The sequence below is a fragment of the Homo sapiens genome, chromosome 5, assembly GCF_000001405.40.
Source record: "Homo sapiens chromosome 5, GRCh38.p14 Primary Assembly".
In the NCBI taxonomy this organism is placed as follows: domain Eukaryota; kingdom Metazoa; phylum Chordata; class Mammalia; order Primates; family Hominidae; genus Homo; species Homo sapiens.
Genome location: NC_000005.10, coordinates 138,296,541 through 138,314,016, shown reverse-complemented (window position 1 = coordinate 138,314,016; position 17,476 = coordinate 138,296,541). Strand labels below are relative to the sequence as shown.

General features: G+C 42.1%; 1 protein-coding gene across 17 annotated transcripts in view, besides 1 other annotated feature; it reads left to right on the top strand.

The window, feature by feature from the left end:
• CDC25C (cell division cycle 25C) overlaps window positions 1–17,476 on the top strand; it is a 53,091-nt gene that overhangs the window by 24,339 nt on the left and 11,276 nt on the right. The gene's annotated exons all lie outside the window — the stretch shown is intronic.
• Window positions 6,558–6,733: a silencer, noted in NCBI's record as "fragment chr5:137642973-137643148 (GRCh37/hg19 assembly coordinates)". NCBI's record gives its function as "represses an EF-1alpha promoter that drives an FKBP-Casp9 reporter gene in an ReSE screen in K562 erythroleukemia cells {active_cell/tissue: K562}" and the evidence as "EXISTENCE:reporter gene assay evidence [ECO:0000049][PMID:32094911]".

The following is a 17,476-nucleotide window of genomic DNA, read 5'->3' as shown; positions in this document are numbered from 1 at the left end:
ATCTCAAAAAAAAAAAAAAAAGAAAGAAAGAAAGAAAGAAAGAAAGAAAGAAAAAGGGACATAGGTGTTTGGGAGGATATTATTTTTGACTTTACCCTGAGTAACTGGAGAAATGGTGACAACAGTATAATGAATTTGAAAAGAAGGGTGGATTCAGCGGGAATAGATGTGTTCTGTTTTGGACATTGAGTTATAGATGCTAAGGAGGAAATTTAGATGGAAATACTAAATGAGGAGTTGAAGCTATCAGGATGAGAAATGTACATTTCTGGGGCAGCTGTATAGAGGAGAAAATGGAAGCTAATGACTCTAAGTTTAAAGTGAAGAGAAAGGCTGGGAAGAAAGAGCAGTAGCCACTGTGGGACTGATAATGAAGTAGACACATATAGGAATAATATTAGCCAGGAATCAGAAAGGAGAGATCTAGGACACAAATACAGGTGGCACATTTATATATTAATTCTTTTTATACATTTTTTGTTATGGTAAAACAAAATTTACAATTTTAATCATTTTTAAGCATACAGTTTAGTGGTATTAAGTGCCTTCATTTTATTGTGAGTGTACTTACCCATCTCTAGGATTTTTTTATTACCCCAAGCAGAAATTCTCTCTTTTTTTTTTTTTTTTTTTTTTTGTGAGATATAGTCTTGCTCTGTCGCCCAAGCTGGAGTGCAGTGGCGCAATTTTGTCTCACTGCACCTCCACCTCCTGGGTTCAAGTGATTCTCCTGCCTCAGCCTCCCGCGTAGCTGGGATTCCAGGCATGCCCCACCGTGGCCGGCTAATTTTTTTTGTATTTTTAGTAGAGACAAGGTTTCACCATGTTGGCCAGGCTGGTCTTGAATATCTGACCTCAGGTGATCTGCCCTCCTCAGCCTCCCAAAGTGCTGAGATTACAGGTGAGCCACTGCACCTGGCCCCCAAGCAGAAATGCTGTACCCCATAAACAATAACTCCCCATCTTCTCCCCCTTCCCCAGCCCCTAGTAACCACTATTCTATTTTCTGCCCTCTATGAGTTTGCTCTAGGTACCTCATATAAATGGAATTTTATCATCCTTTTATCTCTGGCATATATCTCATAGTGTAATGTTTTCATTGGTAATCAGTGTTGTAGCATGTATCAGAATTTCATTCTCTTTAAAAAAAATCAGTTTTATGTTAAATTGTAAAATGCACATAACCTTTATCATCATAACCATTTTCAAGTGTATAGTTTAGTAGTATTACATACATTCCCATTGTTGTGTAACCAATCTCCAGAACTCTTTTAATCTTGGAAAACTGGCACTCTGTGCCCATAAAACAACTTCCCATTTTCCCCTTCTCCCAGCCTCTGGCAACCACCATTCTACTTTCTATAAATTTGATTATTCTAGATATCTCTGATAAGTGGAATGATACAGGGTTTTTTTGTTTTGTAACTGGCTTATTTCAACTAGCATAATGTCCTCAAGCTTTATCTATGTTGTAGCATGTATCATAATTTCATTCCTTTTTATGGCAGAATAATATTCCATTGTATGTATATATCACATTTTGTGACATTTGGGTTTCCATCTTTTGGCAATTGTGAATATTGTTGCTATAAAAATTGGTTTACAAATATCTGTTTGTGTCCTTGCTTTCAGTTCTTTTACTTTTTTGGAGACAGGTCTCACTCAGTTGCCCAGGCTGCAGTGCAGTGATGTGATCATGGCTCACTGCAGCCTTGAACTCTTTGGCTCCAGCAGTCCTCCCTTCTCAGCCTCCCAAGTGACTGGGATTACAGGTGTGAGCCACCACACCTGGCCCTGCTTTCAGTTCTTTAGGGTATATACCCAGAAGTAAAATTGCTGGGTCATATGGTTATTCTGTGTTTAATTTTTTAAGGAACTCTCATACTGTTTTCATAGCAACTGTTCATTTTACATTCCCACCAGCAATGCACAAGGGTCTCAGTTTCTCCATATCATAGCCAACACTTGTTATTTCCTGATTTTGATACTATCCATCTGATGACTACGAAATGGTATCTCATCGTAATTTTAATTTGCATTTCCCTAATGATTAGGGATGTTGAGCACCTTTTCATATGCTTCCTGGCCATTTGTATATCTTCTTTGGAGAAGTGTCTATTCAAGTCCTTTGCCCATTTTTTAATTGAGTTGTTTCTTTTGTTGTTGTTGAGTTGTAGTTCTTTATATATTCTGGATATCAATCCCTTATCAGATAAATAATTTGCAAATCTTTTTTCCTATTCCGTTGGTTGCCTATTCACTATGTTGATTGTGCCCTTTGTTGCAAAAAAGTTTTTAATTTTGATGAAGTCTAATTTATCCACTTTTTTTGTTGCTTGTGCTTTTGGTGTCATATCTGAGAAATCATTGCCAGATTCAATGTCATGTGCCTCCCCCAACCCCCTCCCCTTTTTAAAAGAAAATAGTAGGGACAGGGTCTCACCCAGGCTGGAGTATAGTGATGCGATCACATAGCTCACTGTAACTTCAAACTCCTGCCCTCAAGGGATCCTCCCACCTCAGTGTCCATAGTAGCTAGTACTACAGGCATGCACCACCACACCTGGCTAATTTATTTTTTGTAGAGATAGAGATGAGGTCTTGCTGTGTTACTCTTCTGGTCTCAAAATTCTGGCCTCAAGCGATCCTCTTGCTTCAGCCTCCCAAGGTGCTGCGATTACAGGTGTGAGCCATTGGGCTCAGCTCCCTATGTTTTCTTTAAAGAGTTTTATAGTTATAGCTCTTAAGTTTAGGTCTTTGATTCATTTCGAGTTAATGTGTGTATATGGTATAAGAGAAGGCTTTAACTTTGCTCTTTGGGACAAAGAACAAAGCAGTGTTGGCTACAATATGGAGAAATTGGGACCCTTGTGCATTGCTGGTGGGAATGTAAAATCCAGTTGTCCCACCACTAATTGTTGAAAAAACTCTCCTTTCTTCATTGAATGGTCTTGGCACCCTTTTCAAAAATCATTTAACTATATATGCAAGAGGTTATTTCTTGGCTGTGTTCCATTCCATTGGTCTATATGTCTGTCTTTATGCCAGTGCCACACTGTTTACTGCAGCTTTGTAGTAAGTCATTTTATAAATCTTTAATTTCACAAATCATCCTTGAATATATTCTCCTTTATGGAAAAGTTAAAACATAACAGCTAAGGATAACTAACCCTATCTGACCACCATTCGAAGTCCCTATTGAAGGAAAGGGCTCAGTGGGAAAAGTTAAGAGCATGTGAGTCAGTGGAGCGCAGTGGTCTGAGAAGTAGCCTCTGGGGCCAGACTGCCTGGATTCATAGCTTGACTCTGCCACTTTTAGATATATGACTGTAGGTGAGTCATATGATCTCCTTGTGTTCAATTTCTTGGGTTGTTGTCAGGATCGAATGAGTTAATTACACATAAAACATGTAGAGCAATACTTATCAATTAATAGTACTTAACTATTATTGTGTAGTGTAAGTGCTTAATTATTGTAGTATACGACTAAACTATGTGGAGTTATGAAGAAGGCTGATAGGTGAGGGGATGCTCAATGGCCTTGATGTCCTCCGCAAAGTAAACATTGAAGTAATCTGATGATTCAGAGGAGAGTGCGAGGCGAGAGTCTTAAAAGTGTGTGAAGAAGGTTATAATTGACTTTTGGAGACTGTGGAATTACTAAAAGCCTAGTAAGATGATATTTGTAAGGTCCTATGAGGGCATTATCAGGTAGACATGCATGGCACTTGTTCGAAGTGTCTTCCTACAAGAATGTTCTGGCCTGGAAGCGAGATTGGAGACTTTGGAACTCCAGGGATGATAGTAAGGGTTGAAGATTGCCAATGGTGGATGAACAAGGGGTTGAGGAAGAATAGGTATGGTGAAGGCAGCAGAAAAGTCGACGATGATTCAAAGCCTGGCTAAAAAGCCAGATATCATTAGGTGGACTCAGTAAAGTAAGAGCAGTAATGTGATTGAAAGTTGCTGAGAAGGTAGAAAGTGGCTGGTTTAGAAAGTTTTGAGAGCTAGGCTGGGAGCAGTGGCTCATGCCTGTAATCCTAACACTTTGGGAGGCCGAGACAGGTGGATCACTGGAGATCAGGAGTTCGAGACCAGCCTGGCCAACATGGTGAAACCTCATCTCTACTAAAAATACAAAAATTAGCCGGGTTTGGTGGCAGGTGCCTGTAATCCCAGCTACTTGGGAGGCTGAGGCAGGGGAATCGCTTGAACCTGAGAGGTGGAGGTTGCAGATCACACCACTGCACTCCAGCCTGGGTGACAGAGCGAGACTCCATCTCAAAAAAAAAAAAAAAAAATTTTGAGAGCCAGGGGAGGTTTTAGTTAGTTTGAGGGCATGCCATGTTTGAGCTCTTGATAGTATAATAATAGATGATGATTGCAGTTGTTTTTATTTTTATTTTTTTATTTTGTTTTCTTAAATTCCCCTCACCTCCCCCCATCGCCCTTTTATTTTGAGACGGAGTTTTGCTCTTGTTGCCCAGGCTGGAGTGTGATGGTGTGATCTCGGCTCACTGCAACTTCCGCCTCCAGGGTTCAAGAGATTCTCCTGCCTCAACCTCCCAGGTGGGTAGGATTACAGGTGCCCACCACCACCCCCAGCTAATTTTTTGTATTTTTAGTAGAGATAGGGTTTCACCATGTTGGCCAGGCTGGTCTTGAACTCCTGATCTCAGGTGATCCACCTGCTTTGGCCTCCCAAAGTGCTGGGATTACAGGCGTGAGCCACTGTGCCCAGTCAAATTTCCTGTTTTAAGAATGAAGTATTTTTATGTTTTTTTTTTTTTTTTAATACCAGTTTGTTGAGAGCCTGATGTGGAGTTCTAGAGAAGCTTAGTGGAAGTATTGTGAAGTCATGCTCTCCAAAGTGTTGTCAGTGGACATTGTAAGAATGTGGAAAATACAATGGGTTTTAGTATTGAAGACAGTACAGAGACTAGAATGGAAAGGAAAAATGAGGGCCACGCAATAACAAGAGCTCCCATTTATTGACTACTTAGAGTATAGTAGGCACCATGTGCTAAGCAGTATACATCCATAATCACATTTCATTCTCATATCCACCCTGAAATATGACTGTTGTCTCCCTTTGAGGGGAGCCCATTGGGTCATGAGGTAAGGTGTGATACCCATGGTTACATAGTTAGAAGCAGCAGAGCCAGGGTTTAAACTAAGATCTACCTGACCCCAGAGCCTGTTTTTAGCAATTTTCCCAGGTAATTCTGATATACACTAAATTTTGAGCGTTATGTTCTATAACATAGTATTAAGTCCTATTTTATTTTTAATTTCATTGGTTTGTGGGAAAACAAAACCAAGATACAATCTGAAGAAGGCAGGATGGGTGTTGGGAGAATTGACAGTGACCTTCCTAAAACATAAAACAGTTTTGAGGACTTGCTGATAATGGGCAGTAGATCTATAGAAAAACAGTGAGTTGGGAATAGTCGGCATGGGGAAAAGGTTTCTAGGGCTTCCGAAAAAAAGAGCAATGTAAAATGAAGATTTAGGATCACTTTTACAAATATGTTAGTCTTCACATTTGCAGAATGTTGTAATTAATATAGTTAAGTCTCAGCTGGTATTAACTTAGCAAATTGAATTTAATGTTAATTTAAAAAATCCTTTTATTTTCTATTTCATTGTTGAAAACTTGTCTAAGTTATGTTGATCTGCTTTTATGAAATTAAGTACAGTACAGTGAACATAATTGAATCTTTCTCTGGTGATTGAAGATCTTTCATAGTCTCAGAAATATCATTCTGAATTGCATAATATAGACAGTATAGAAGCATGGACTTAAAATAGATTGACCCCAGGAAATATTCTGGAACAGGTTTTCCCAACCCGTGGGCCATGGATCAACACAGGTCCATGGCCTGTTAGGAACCGGGCCGCACAGTAGGAAGTAAGAGGTGGGCCAGGCCAGCGAGCATTAACACCTAAGCTCTGCCTCCTGTCAGATCAGTGGCAGCATTAGATTCTCATAGGAGGCAAACTCTTTTGTGAACTGCGCATGCGAGGGATCTAGGTTGCCGGTTCCTTGTGAGAATCTGAGAATCTAACTAATGCCTGATGATCTGAGGTGAAACAGTTTCATCCTGAAACCATATCCCCACCCAGATCCATGGAAAAAAATGTCTTCCACAAAACTGGTCCCCAGTATCAAAAAGGCTGGGGACCACTGCTCTGAAAGTTTTGTTTAGGTGGAAGAGTGGCATAGGGCTATGAGTATTTATTTGATTTTTGTTTTAAGAGACAGGGTCTTCTATATTGTCCAGGCTGATCTCAAACTCTTGAGCTCAAGTGTTCCCCCTGTCTTGGCCTCCCAAAGTGCATTTTGATGGTCTTTGAAAAATATTTGGACAATAGAGCCTTGACAGAAAATTTAAATAATTAAATAAAAAATGTTTTAAAATTGTCCTTTTATGGGCTCATTTTCTTAGATTGTAACTCTTATGCAGTCATTTTCTCTTTCTTTTTTTCCTTCTTTCTCTTTTTCTTTTTTTTTTTTTTTTTTTTTGTGGCAGTCTCAGTCTGTCTTCCAGGCTGGAGTGTAGTGGCGTGATCAGGGCTCACTGCAGGTCACAACCTCCTGGGCTCAGGCGATTCTTCCATCTCAGCCTCCCGAGTAGCTGGGACTACAGGCACATGCAACCATGCCAAGCTAATTTTTGTAGAGACAATTTCACCATGTTGCCCAGGCTGGTCTTAACTCCTGGGCTCAAGTGATCTGCCTGCCTCACCCTCCCAAAGTGCTAGGGTTACAGGTGTGAGCTACCATGCATGGCCATAAAGTCATTTTTGATTGATGGCCCATCCTATAAGAATATGCATAGCAGTAGGTTTTAGGTTACAAAAGGGATAGGGGGCTGGGCACGGTGGCTCATGCCTGTAATCCCAGCACTTTGGGAGGCCGAGGCAGGCAGATCCCTTGAGGTCAGGAGTTCGAGACCAGCCTGGCCAACATGGCAAAACCCCGTCTCTACTAAAAATACAAAAATTAGCCAGGCATGGTGGCATGCACCTGTAATCCCAGCTACTAAAGAGCCCGAGGAAGGAAAATCACTTGAACCTGGGAGGCAGAGATTGCAGTGAGCTGAGATCGTGCCGCTGCACTCCAGCATGGGCAACAGAGCGAGACTCTGTCTCAAAAAGGAAAAAAAAAAGAAAAGGAATAGGGATTTTTTTTTGTTACTGTTTTACCTCTTTGATGTTAAATGGAAAAAAAAAAAATAGGCCAGGCACATTGGCTCACGCCTGTAATCCCAGCACTTTGGGAGGCTGAGGTGGGCAGATCACCTGAGGTCAGGAATTTGAGACCAGCCTGGCCAACATGATGAAACCCCGTCTTTACTAAAAATACACAAATTAGCTGGGCATGGTGGTATGCACCTGTAATCTCAGCTACTTGGGAGGCTGAGGCAGGAGAATTGCTTGAACCCGGGAGGTGGAGGTTGCAGGGAGCCGAGATTGCGCCACTGCACTCCTGCCTGGGTGACAGAGTGAGACCCTGTCTCAAAATATAATAATAATAATAATAATAAACGGAAATAAATAGATACTTGTATAAAGCAGTGACCTCCTTGGAGATTGTCGTAACCTTAGTGATTTTTCATTCATTTCTTTACTTAAAAAATATTTATTGAGTACTTGCTACATGTTGGGAAGTGTGCTAGGCACTGGTGATACGATGGTGAACAAAACAGACTAGAATTTATATTCTTGTCAGGGATGCATCAAAACAACAAAAATTTTTTTCAAGTTAATAGATATTCTAGTTAGAGTTCTTGGTTGCAAATAATAGAAACTGATTCTAGTTTCCTCAAGCAGAAAAGGGATTTTTCTGGAGGGTACTGAGGAACTCAGAATTACAAGGAAGGCTGGAAAACAAAGTAAGGCCCAGCCAAAATACTATTCCAGGAACATTGAGCTCAGGATGCCACCACTTGCTGGCTAGACACTCAATGCCACCGTTACTGGCACCCTGCCATGGAACATGATCAGGCTTGCTGCTAGATAGACTGTGCTGCTCATGGATATTTGCTACCACCTAGTATATTCTCTACTGTGATGCAGCCACCATAAAAAGTCTGGACCAACCCTTTGCTTTTTGAGCTTCTTTAAGGTTGAAAATCCCAGGCAGGAATATCTAGTTGGTCACAAGGGCATGGAAAAGGGAATATCTGTCTCCCATTGGCCACCTCATGAGGAGGCAGGACTGCCTCTCTAACTTTAGATTTTACTGAAACAGTATGTTAGGCAGCCAAATTGTAAATGTCTGCCATAACAGACAAAATAATTTAGATTTTGGGCTGGGTGTGGTGGCTCACACTTGTAATCCCAACATTTTGGGAGTCTGAGGCAGAAGGATAGTTTGAGTCGACAAGTTTGAGACCAGCCTAGGCAACACAGTAAGCCCCCATCGCTACAAAAAAATAAAAATTAGCCAGGCATGGTGGTGTGCCCCTGTAGTCCTAGCTACTCCAGAGGCTGAGGTGGGAGGACTGTTTGAGTCTAGCAGTTCAAGGCTACAGTGAGCCATGATCATGCCTGGGCAATCCAGCCTGGGTGACAGAGCAAGACCCCATTTCTAATAATAATAATAATAATTTAGTAATTGCAAATAGTCCAAGTGTAATGATGGAAACAAAATGAGGTCTGAAATAGAGGCTAACAAAAGGAAATCTTTAAATGGAGAATAATAAGGGAAGATCTCCACAAGTGGGAGATATTTGGTTAAGAATCGGGTGATGAACTCTCTGTTTGCCTGGGACTAGAATGTTCTAGGATATGGGGCTTCCATTGCTAAAGCTGGGAAAGTCCCGGACAAGCTGGTATTAAGTTAGGGCCACTCTAATTGTGAAGGAATCATATATGACAAGAGTAGAGGCAGGAGCATTTCATGAAGAAGGAATGTTGCAGGTACAGAGGCCCCAGGTGGAAAAGGTCTTCACATGTTGGAGGGACTGAGAAGTCAGTGAATGAGAGGAGTGTTATGTGAGCTGGGAAAGAATAAGTAGTCAGGAGGTAGATCACGCAGGGTCTTTAGGCTATGGTGAGTGTTTGGATTCTATTCTAAGTACAATGAGTTGCTACTGAAGGGAGGGCTTTAGGCAGGGGAATAATATGGTCTGATTTGTTTTGTGAAGACCACTCTTGTTGATGGATGGGGAACAGATTAGAAAGGATTAAGAGTTGGAAGTCAACGGGTGGTTTGGCTTTCACCTGTAATCCTGTCAATTTGAGAGGCTGAGGCAGGAGAGTTGCTTGAGCTCAGTAGTTTGAGACCAGTCTAGGCAACATAGCAAAACCTCATCACTACTAAAAATAAAAAAATGTTAGTTGCATGTGGTAGTGCATGCCTGTAGTCCCAGCCACTTGGGAGGCAGAGACAGTAGGATTGCTTGAGCCCAGGAGGTCAAGGCTGCAGTGAGCCATGATCGTGCCACTGCATTCCAGCCTGGGCAACAAAGGGAGACCCTGCCTCAAAAAGGAGAAAAAAAAAAAAAGAGTTGGAAGCAGGTAAGAGTAGGAGCCATTGTGTTAGTCCTAGCTACAGTTGGTGGTAGCCTGAACTAAGGTGTTGACTATGGAGACAGAGAAATGGATGCATTCAAAATATATTTTGTCTGCCTGCCTCAGCAACATGTCTCTACAAAAAAAAAAAAAAAAAAAAAAAGCCAGGCATGGTGTGTATGCCTGTAGTCCCAGCTACTCAGGAGGCTGAGGTGGGAGGATGGCTTGAGCCCAGGGGTTTGAGGCTGCAGTGAACCACGATCACACCACTGCTCTCCAGCCTGGGCAACAGAGCAAGACCCTGTCTCAAAAAAATTAAAAAAGTAAAAAGATACATAGATATATATATTTTGGATAGAGAATCAACAGGACTTGAAGGGTTGGGTGCAGGCTGTGAAGGAAGGATGAGATCAAGGATGACTTTAGTCATATGCAGTTTGAAGTGTTTTGTTGTGAAGAGAAAACAGATGCTATCAGAAGAAAACTGCCTTCTTTTCTCACCAGATACAGCAATCAATCTCCTTTTATACCCATATAATCTGCAGTCGCTCTTGCCACAGAGCACGAAGTGTCCCTGCTCCTATCTAAAGCCCTTCCTTCACACTGTGTCCTATTCATTCATTCATTCATTTATTCACTAATGCCAGAGATACAGTAGTATCTGAGCTTACATTCTAGTTATGAGGAAACAGACAGACAAATACATTTGTAATATGGCAGATGGTAAAAATACTATGGTGAAAAAGCAAAGGGAGATTATAGGGAGTCCCTGGATTGGAGTAGGGCAGGGTGAGAGTTGTTATTTTTGATAGGTTGCATAGGTCAGAGGAGACTTATTTGAGAGTGACGTTTGAGCAGACATCTGAAAGAGCGAGGAAGCCAACAAGCAGATGTCAGGAGGAATGAGTCATTCCCAGCAGAAGGCAAAGCAAGTGCAATGCCCCTGAGGTGAGTATGCTTGGCGTGTTTATGGGACAGCAAGAAGGCCAGTGTGGCTGAAGCGGAGGGAGCAAGTGGAGAAGGGTAGAAAATGAGGGCAGAGAGGAGTTAGCAGAAGGACAGATCGTGTAGGGCCTTGTAGGCATTTGTAAAGACTGCAAAAACCGAGTCAGATGGAAGCATCTCCTCATGTGTACTACTGCAGTATTTCCCCACTCCTATATTACCAATTTTCCCTTCTACTAGAATAAGAGTTCTCAAATTTTTTGGTCTTAGAACTCCTTTGTAATCTTAAAAATTACTTACAACCCCTTGCCTTACACCTGAGCTTAGAGAAAAGCATTCAGCTTTTTATACATTGAGTATGATGTTAGCTATACATTTCTTGAGAAGCCCATCATCAGGTTGAGGAAGTTCCCTTCTATTTCCTAGTTTGCCAGGAGATTTTAGCAGGAACAGGTTTTTTGTTTTTGTTTTTGTTTTTAAAGAGACATGGTCTCACTCTCTTGCCCAGGCTGGAGTGCGTGGCACAATCACAGCTCACTGCATCCTCAAACTCCTGGGCTCAAGAGATCCTCTTGCCTATGCCTCCCCAAGTAGCTGGGACTACAGGCAAACACAGTCACCCCTGGCTAGTTCTTTTTTTTTTTTTTCCCCTATAGAGATGGGGATCTCACCATTTTGTCCAGGCTGGTCTTGAACTCCTGGGCTCAGGCAACCCCTCTGCCTCAGCCTCCCAAAGTGCTGGGATTACAGGCATAAGTTACCCTACCCAGCCCTTTTCTCTGTATCTATTGAGATAATCAAGTGAGTTTTTTTTTTAATCTGTTAATATGATGAATTACTTTTTTTTTTTGAGATGGAGTTTCGCTCTTGTTGCTCAGGCTGGAGTGCAATGGTGCAATCTCAGCTCACCACAACCTCCGCCTCCTGGGTTCAAGCGATTCTCCTGCCTCAGCCTCCCGAGTAGCTGGGATTACAGGCATGTGCCACCACGCCTTGCTAATTTTGTATTTTTAGTAGAGACGGGGTTTCTCTATGTTGGTTAGTCTGGTCTCAAACTCCCGACCTTAGGTGATCCACCTGCCTTGGCCTCCCAAAGTGCTGGGATTACAGGTATGAGCCACTGTGCCTGGCCTACGTTTTTGAATGTTAAACAACCTTGCAATCCTGTGATAACCTCACTTGGTTGTGACATATGATCCTTCTTATATGTTGTTGGATTTCATTGCTAACATTTTGTTGATAATTTTTACATCGGCCGAGCACGGTGGCTCATGCCTGTAATCCCAGCACTTTGGGAGGCTGAGGCAGGTGGATCACTCGAGGTCAGGAGATCGAGACCAGCCTGGCCAACATGGTGGAACCCCCGTCTCTACAAAAAAATACAAAAACTAGCCGGGCATGGTGGCACACACCTGTAGTACCAGCTACTCGAGAGGCTGAGGCAGGAGAATCGCTTGAATCAGGGAGGCAGAGGTTGCAGTGAGCTGAGATCGTGCCACTGCAGTCCATCCTGGGAGACAGAGCGAGACTCTGTCTCAATAAAAAGGCCGGGCACAGTGACTCACACCTGTAATTCCCAGCACTTTGGGAGGCCAAGGCAGGTGGATCACCTGAGGTCAGGAGCTCGAGGCCAGCTTGGCCTACATGGTGAGACCCCATCTGTACTAAAAATACAAAAATTAGCCAGGTGCAGTGGCACACACCTGTAATTCCAGCTACTTGGGATACTGAGGCAGGAGAAACGCTTGAACCCAGGAGGCAGAGGTTGCAGTGAGCTGAGATAGCACCACTGCACTCCAGCCTGGGTGACAGAGCGAGACTCCATCTGAAAAAAAAAAAAAAAATTTTTTTTTTTTTTTGTGTACCTCTATGTTCATGAGAGATATTGATCTTCAGTGTTTTAGCTTTTCATGTTAATGTTTTGGTATTGGTATCAGTGTAATGCTAGCATCATGAAATGATTTGCAAATAATTCCCTCTTTTTTTTTCAATTTTCTGGAAGAGTTTATATAGAATTGGTTTTATTTCTCTTTTAGATGTTTGGCACGATTCACCGGTGAAGCCACCTGGGCCTAGAGTTTTCTTTGTGGGAATGTTTTTAACAAATTCAACTTACTTTACAGATAGGAACTACTCAGTTTAACTGTTTCTTTTTGAGTGAGTTTGGTAGTTTGTGTCTTTGAAGGAATTTGTCCATTTTAATTAGGTTGTCAAATATAGTGGCATAAAGTTGTTAAAAATACTTCCTTATTAGCGTTTTAGTGTCTGTAGAATCCATAGTGATGTCTCTCATTCCTGATATTGGTTATATGTGTCCTCTGTCTTATTCCTGATAAGTCTGGGTAGAGATTTATCAATATTGATCTTTTTAAAAAATCATCTTTTGGTTTTATTGACTTTCTCCATTGTTTTTCTGTTTTCTATTCCATTGATTTTGCACTCTAATCTTTGGATACTTTGAGTTCAATTTGATCTTCATGTTTAGTTAAGGTTGAAGCTAAGGTCATTGATTTGAGACCTTTTTAAATAAGGGTATTTAGTACTTTAGCTGCATCTCACAAATTTTGATATGTTGCATTTTCAGTTTTATTCAGTTCAAAATACTTTCCAATTTCCTTTTTTGGTTTCTTTTTTGATGTAGGGGTTACTTAGAAGCTTGTTATTTAATTATTTGCAAATATTTGAGGACTTTTTGAGGACCTCATATTTGAGGACCTTTCTGTTATTGAATTCTAATTTAATTCGATTGTCAAGAATATATTTTATATGACTTAAATCCTTTTAGGTGCATTAAGATTGGTTTTTATGGTCCAGAGTATGACTCAGAACATCTTGGTAAATGTTTAGTGCAACTTAGAAAATGTATAGTCTCTATTCTTGAGTAGAATATTCTATGTATGTCAAGTAGGTCCAGTTTATTTATATTGTTGAACACATCTATATGCTTATTAGTTTTCTGTCTATTAATCTATCAATTTTTTTTTTTTGAGACAGAGTCTCACTCTGTTGCCCAGAATGGACTGCAGTAGCACAATCACGGCTCACTGCAGCCTCAACCTCCTGAACACAAACAATCCTCCTGCCTCAGCCTCCCAAGTAGCTGGGACTACAGGCATGCACCACTGTACCCAGCTAATTTTTGTATTTTTGTAGAGACAGCGTTTTACCATGTTGCCCAGGCTGGTCTTAGACTCCTGAGCTCAAGCAACCCACCCGTCTTAGCCTCACAACGTGCAGAGATGAGTAATCATATGGTTTTTGTCATTTATTTTATTGATCTGGTGGGATACGGTGGCTGATTTTCAGATGTTATATCAACCTTGCATTTCTGGGATACATCCTACCTGGTCATGGTTTCAGTCTTTTGTTTTGTTTTGTTAATTGGAGTTGGGGCGGTGCCTCACTATGTCGCCTTGAACTCCTGTGTGCTCCAGCAATCCTTCCACCTCCGCCTCCTGAGAAGCTAAGACTACCGGTGCACACCACTACACCTGGCTAGTTTCAGTAGTTTTTGTCTTGTTAGGAATTAGTCCATTTCATCTAAGTGGTCTCATTTGTTGGCACACAGTTATTCACTAATATTTCTTCATGATCCTTTTTATTTCTGTAAGGTTGGTAGTAATGTCCCACTTTCCATTCCTGATTTTGATAACTTGAGACTTTTTTTTAATTGTTCAGGCTAAAAGTTTGTCGATTTTTGCTGATCTTTTCAAAGAACCAACTTTTGGTTCTGTTGTTTTTCTATTCTCTTAAGTTCTGCTCTAATCTTTTTTATTTCCTTCCTTCTGCTTGCTTTGGATTTAGTTTCCTCTTAGGTGGGAGTTTAGGTAATTGATTTGAGATCTTCTTTTTTATTTTAGGCATTTATAGCTTTAAATTTTTTTCTAAGCATTACTTTAGCTGTATCCCATAAGCTTTGGTATGTTGTATCTTAGTTTTCATTCATCTCAAAGTATTTTCTGATTTTCCTATGATTTCTTCATTGACCCATTGGTTATTAACAAGTGTGTTATTTAATTTTCTTTTTCTTTTCTTTCTTTTTTTTTTTTTTTTTGAGACGGAGTCTTGCTCTGTCCCCCAGGCTGGAGGGCAGTGGTGTGATCTTGGCTCACTGCAACCTCTGCCCCCTGGGTTCAAGCAATTCTCCTGCCTCAGCCTCCCAAGTAGTTGAGATTACAGGCGTACCCTACCACGCCTGGCTAATTTTTGTATTTTTAGTAGAGATGGGGCTTCACTCTGTTGGCCAGGCTGGTCTCGAACTCCTGACCTTAAGTGGTCCTCCCGCCTCAGCCTCCCAGAGTGCTGGAATTACAGGCATGAGCCACTGTGCCTGGCCTTTTTTTTTTTTTTTTTTTTCCAGACAGAGTCTCCCTCTGTAACCTAGGCTGGAGTGCAGTGGTGCGATCTTGGCTCACTGCAACCTGTGCCTCCCAGGTTCAGGCAATTCTCCTGCCTCAGCCTCCCGAGTAGCTGGGACTACAGGCACCCGCCACCACACCCAGCTAATTTTTGTATTTTTAGTAGAGATGGGGTTTCACCATGATGGCCAGGCTGGTCTGGAACTCCTAACCCCAGGTGATCCGCCCGCCTCAGCCTCCCAAAGTGCTGGGATTACAGGTGTGAGCCACCACACCTGGCCTATTTAATTTTCATAAATTTGCTAATTTTCCAGATTTTTTCTGTTAACTGATTTCTAATTTTATTCCATTGTGGTCAGAGAACATATTTTGTGTGATTTCAATCCTTTTAAATTTATTGAGGCTTATTTTATTTTATTTTATTTTTATTTTATTTTATTTTTGAGATGGAGTCTCACTCTGTCACCAGGCTGGAGTGCAGTGGCACGACCTAAGCTCACTGCAACTTCCGCCTCCCAGGTTCAAGCGATTCTCCTGCCTCAGCCTCCTGAATAGCTGGGACTACAGGCATGTGCCACCACCCCCAGCTAATTTTTGTATTTTTAGTAGAGACAGGATTTCACCATGTTGGCCAGGATGGTCTCGATCTCTTGACCTTGTGATCTGCCCGCCTCAGCCTCCCAAAGTGCTAGGATTACAGGTTTGAGCCACTGCGCCTGGCGAGGCTTATTTTATGTTCAGGCATATTGTCTATTGTGAGAATGTGCCATGTGTACTGGAGAAGAATGTGTATTCTACGGTTGTTGGGTAGAGTGTTCTCTAGGTGTCTGTTAGGTCTGGTTGGTTTATAGTATTGTTTAAATTAGTTTTTGAGGTTTCTAAAAATGGTATCACTGGGTGTGGTGGCTCACATCTGTAATCCCAGCACTTTGGGAGGCTAAGGCAAGAGGACATTTGAGCCCCAGGAGTTCACAACCAGCCTGGGCAACAAAGAGAGACCTTGTCTCTACGAAAAAAAAAAAAAAAAATGCAAGGTGTGGTGGCTCAAGCCTGTAGTTCCAGCTACTTGGGAGGCTGAGGTGGAAGGATCACTTGAGCCTGGGATGTCGAGATTGCAGTGAGCTGTGATCATGCCACTGCACTCCAGCCTGGATGAGAGAGTGAGACCCTGTCTCAAGAAAAAAAAAAAAAGGTACCATACTAAATGTGGCTGTCTCACTGGCTGCCTTGTTATTCTCACCCAGGGCCATTGCATTTGTTGTTCCTTCATCCTAGAACTTTCTTCCCCAAGGCAATGCATGATTTTCTTCCTCATTTCAGTCTCTGTGCATATGTCTTATAAGGACCTTTCCTGACAGACTTCCCAACCCCTGTGTTTTTCTTTTCATCCTTCTTTGTTTTGATTTATGCCATTTATCACTATGTGAAAAAGTACAGAGTATATTTATTAGTCTACTTCTTTGTTTCTTTTACTCTTTTGTTCATTGCTATGTCACCTAGTAGGTACTCAAAACGTATCAAGCTTCCAAATGTGAATTTGGAAGTTCTGAAGTCAGAGCAGAGGACTTGACTAAAGATAGAAATTTGGAAATCATTAGCTTAGAGTGAAAATTTAAATTCACAGGTAGAAGAAATTACCTATGGCTAGAGGGAGGAGATAAAAGAGAAAAGGGCCAGGGCCTGGCCCTGATGAATCCAGCATCTATTAGAGGTTTGATAGGTAAGGAGGCCTAACAAAGAAAATTGAGAAGGAGCAGAGGAGAGGGCACAGAGGTAGAAGCATCATAGTTCTTCTAGTGTAGGGGCTGCCTGTACTAGAAATAAAGAACTAGGCCGGGCACAGTGGCTCATGCCTATAATCCTAGCACTTTGGGAGGCCGAGGTGGGCCGATCACTTGAGGTCAGGAGTTCGAGACCAGTGTGGCCAACACAGTTGAACCCTGTCTCTACTAAAAATACAAAATTAAAAAATAATAATAATGGCCAGGCGCGGTGGCTCACGCCTGTAATCCCAGCACTTTGGCAGGCCGAGGCAGGCGAATCACGAGGTCGGGAGATCAAGACCATCCTGGCTAACATGGTGAAACCCCGTCTCTACTAAAAATACAAAAAAATTAGCCTGGCGTGGTGGCGGATGCCTGTAGTCCCAGCTACTTGGGAGGCTGAGGCAGAAGAATGGCGTGAACCCGCGAGGCAGAGCTTGCAGTGAGCCGAGATCGTGCCACTGCACTCCACCCTGTGTGACAGAGCGAGACTGTGTCTAAAAAAAAAAAAAAAAAAAAAAAGTGGCCGGGCGTGGTGGCTCACGCCTGTAATCCCAGCACTTTGGGAGGCCGAGGCGGGCAGATCACGAGGTCAGGAGTTTGAGACCATCCTGGCTAACACGGTGAAACCCCGTCTCTACTAAAAATACAAAAAATTAGCTGTGTGCGGTGGCGGGCGCCTGTAGTCCCAGCTACTCTGGGGGCCGAGGCAGGAGAATGGCGTGAACCTGGGAGGCGGAGCTTGCAGGGAGCCGAGATCGCGCCACTGCATTCCGGCCTGGGTGAAAGAGCGAGACTCTGTCTCAAAAAAAAAAAAAAATAATTAATAATAATAAAATAAAAATACAAAATTAGCCAGGCATGATGGCGCATGTTTGTGATCCCAGC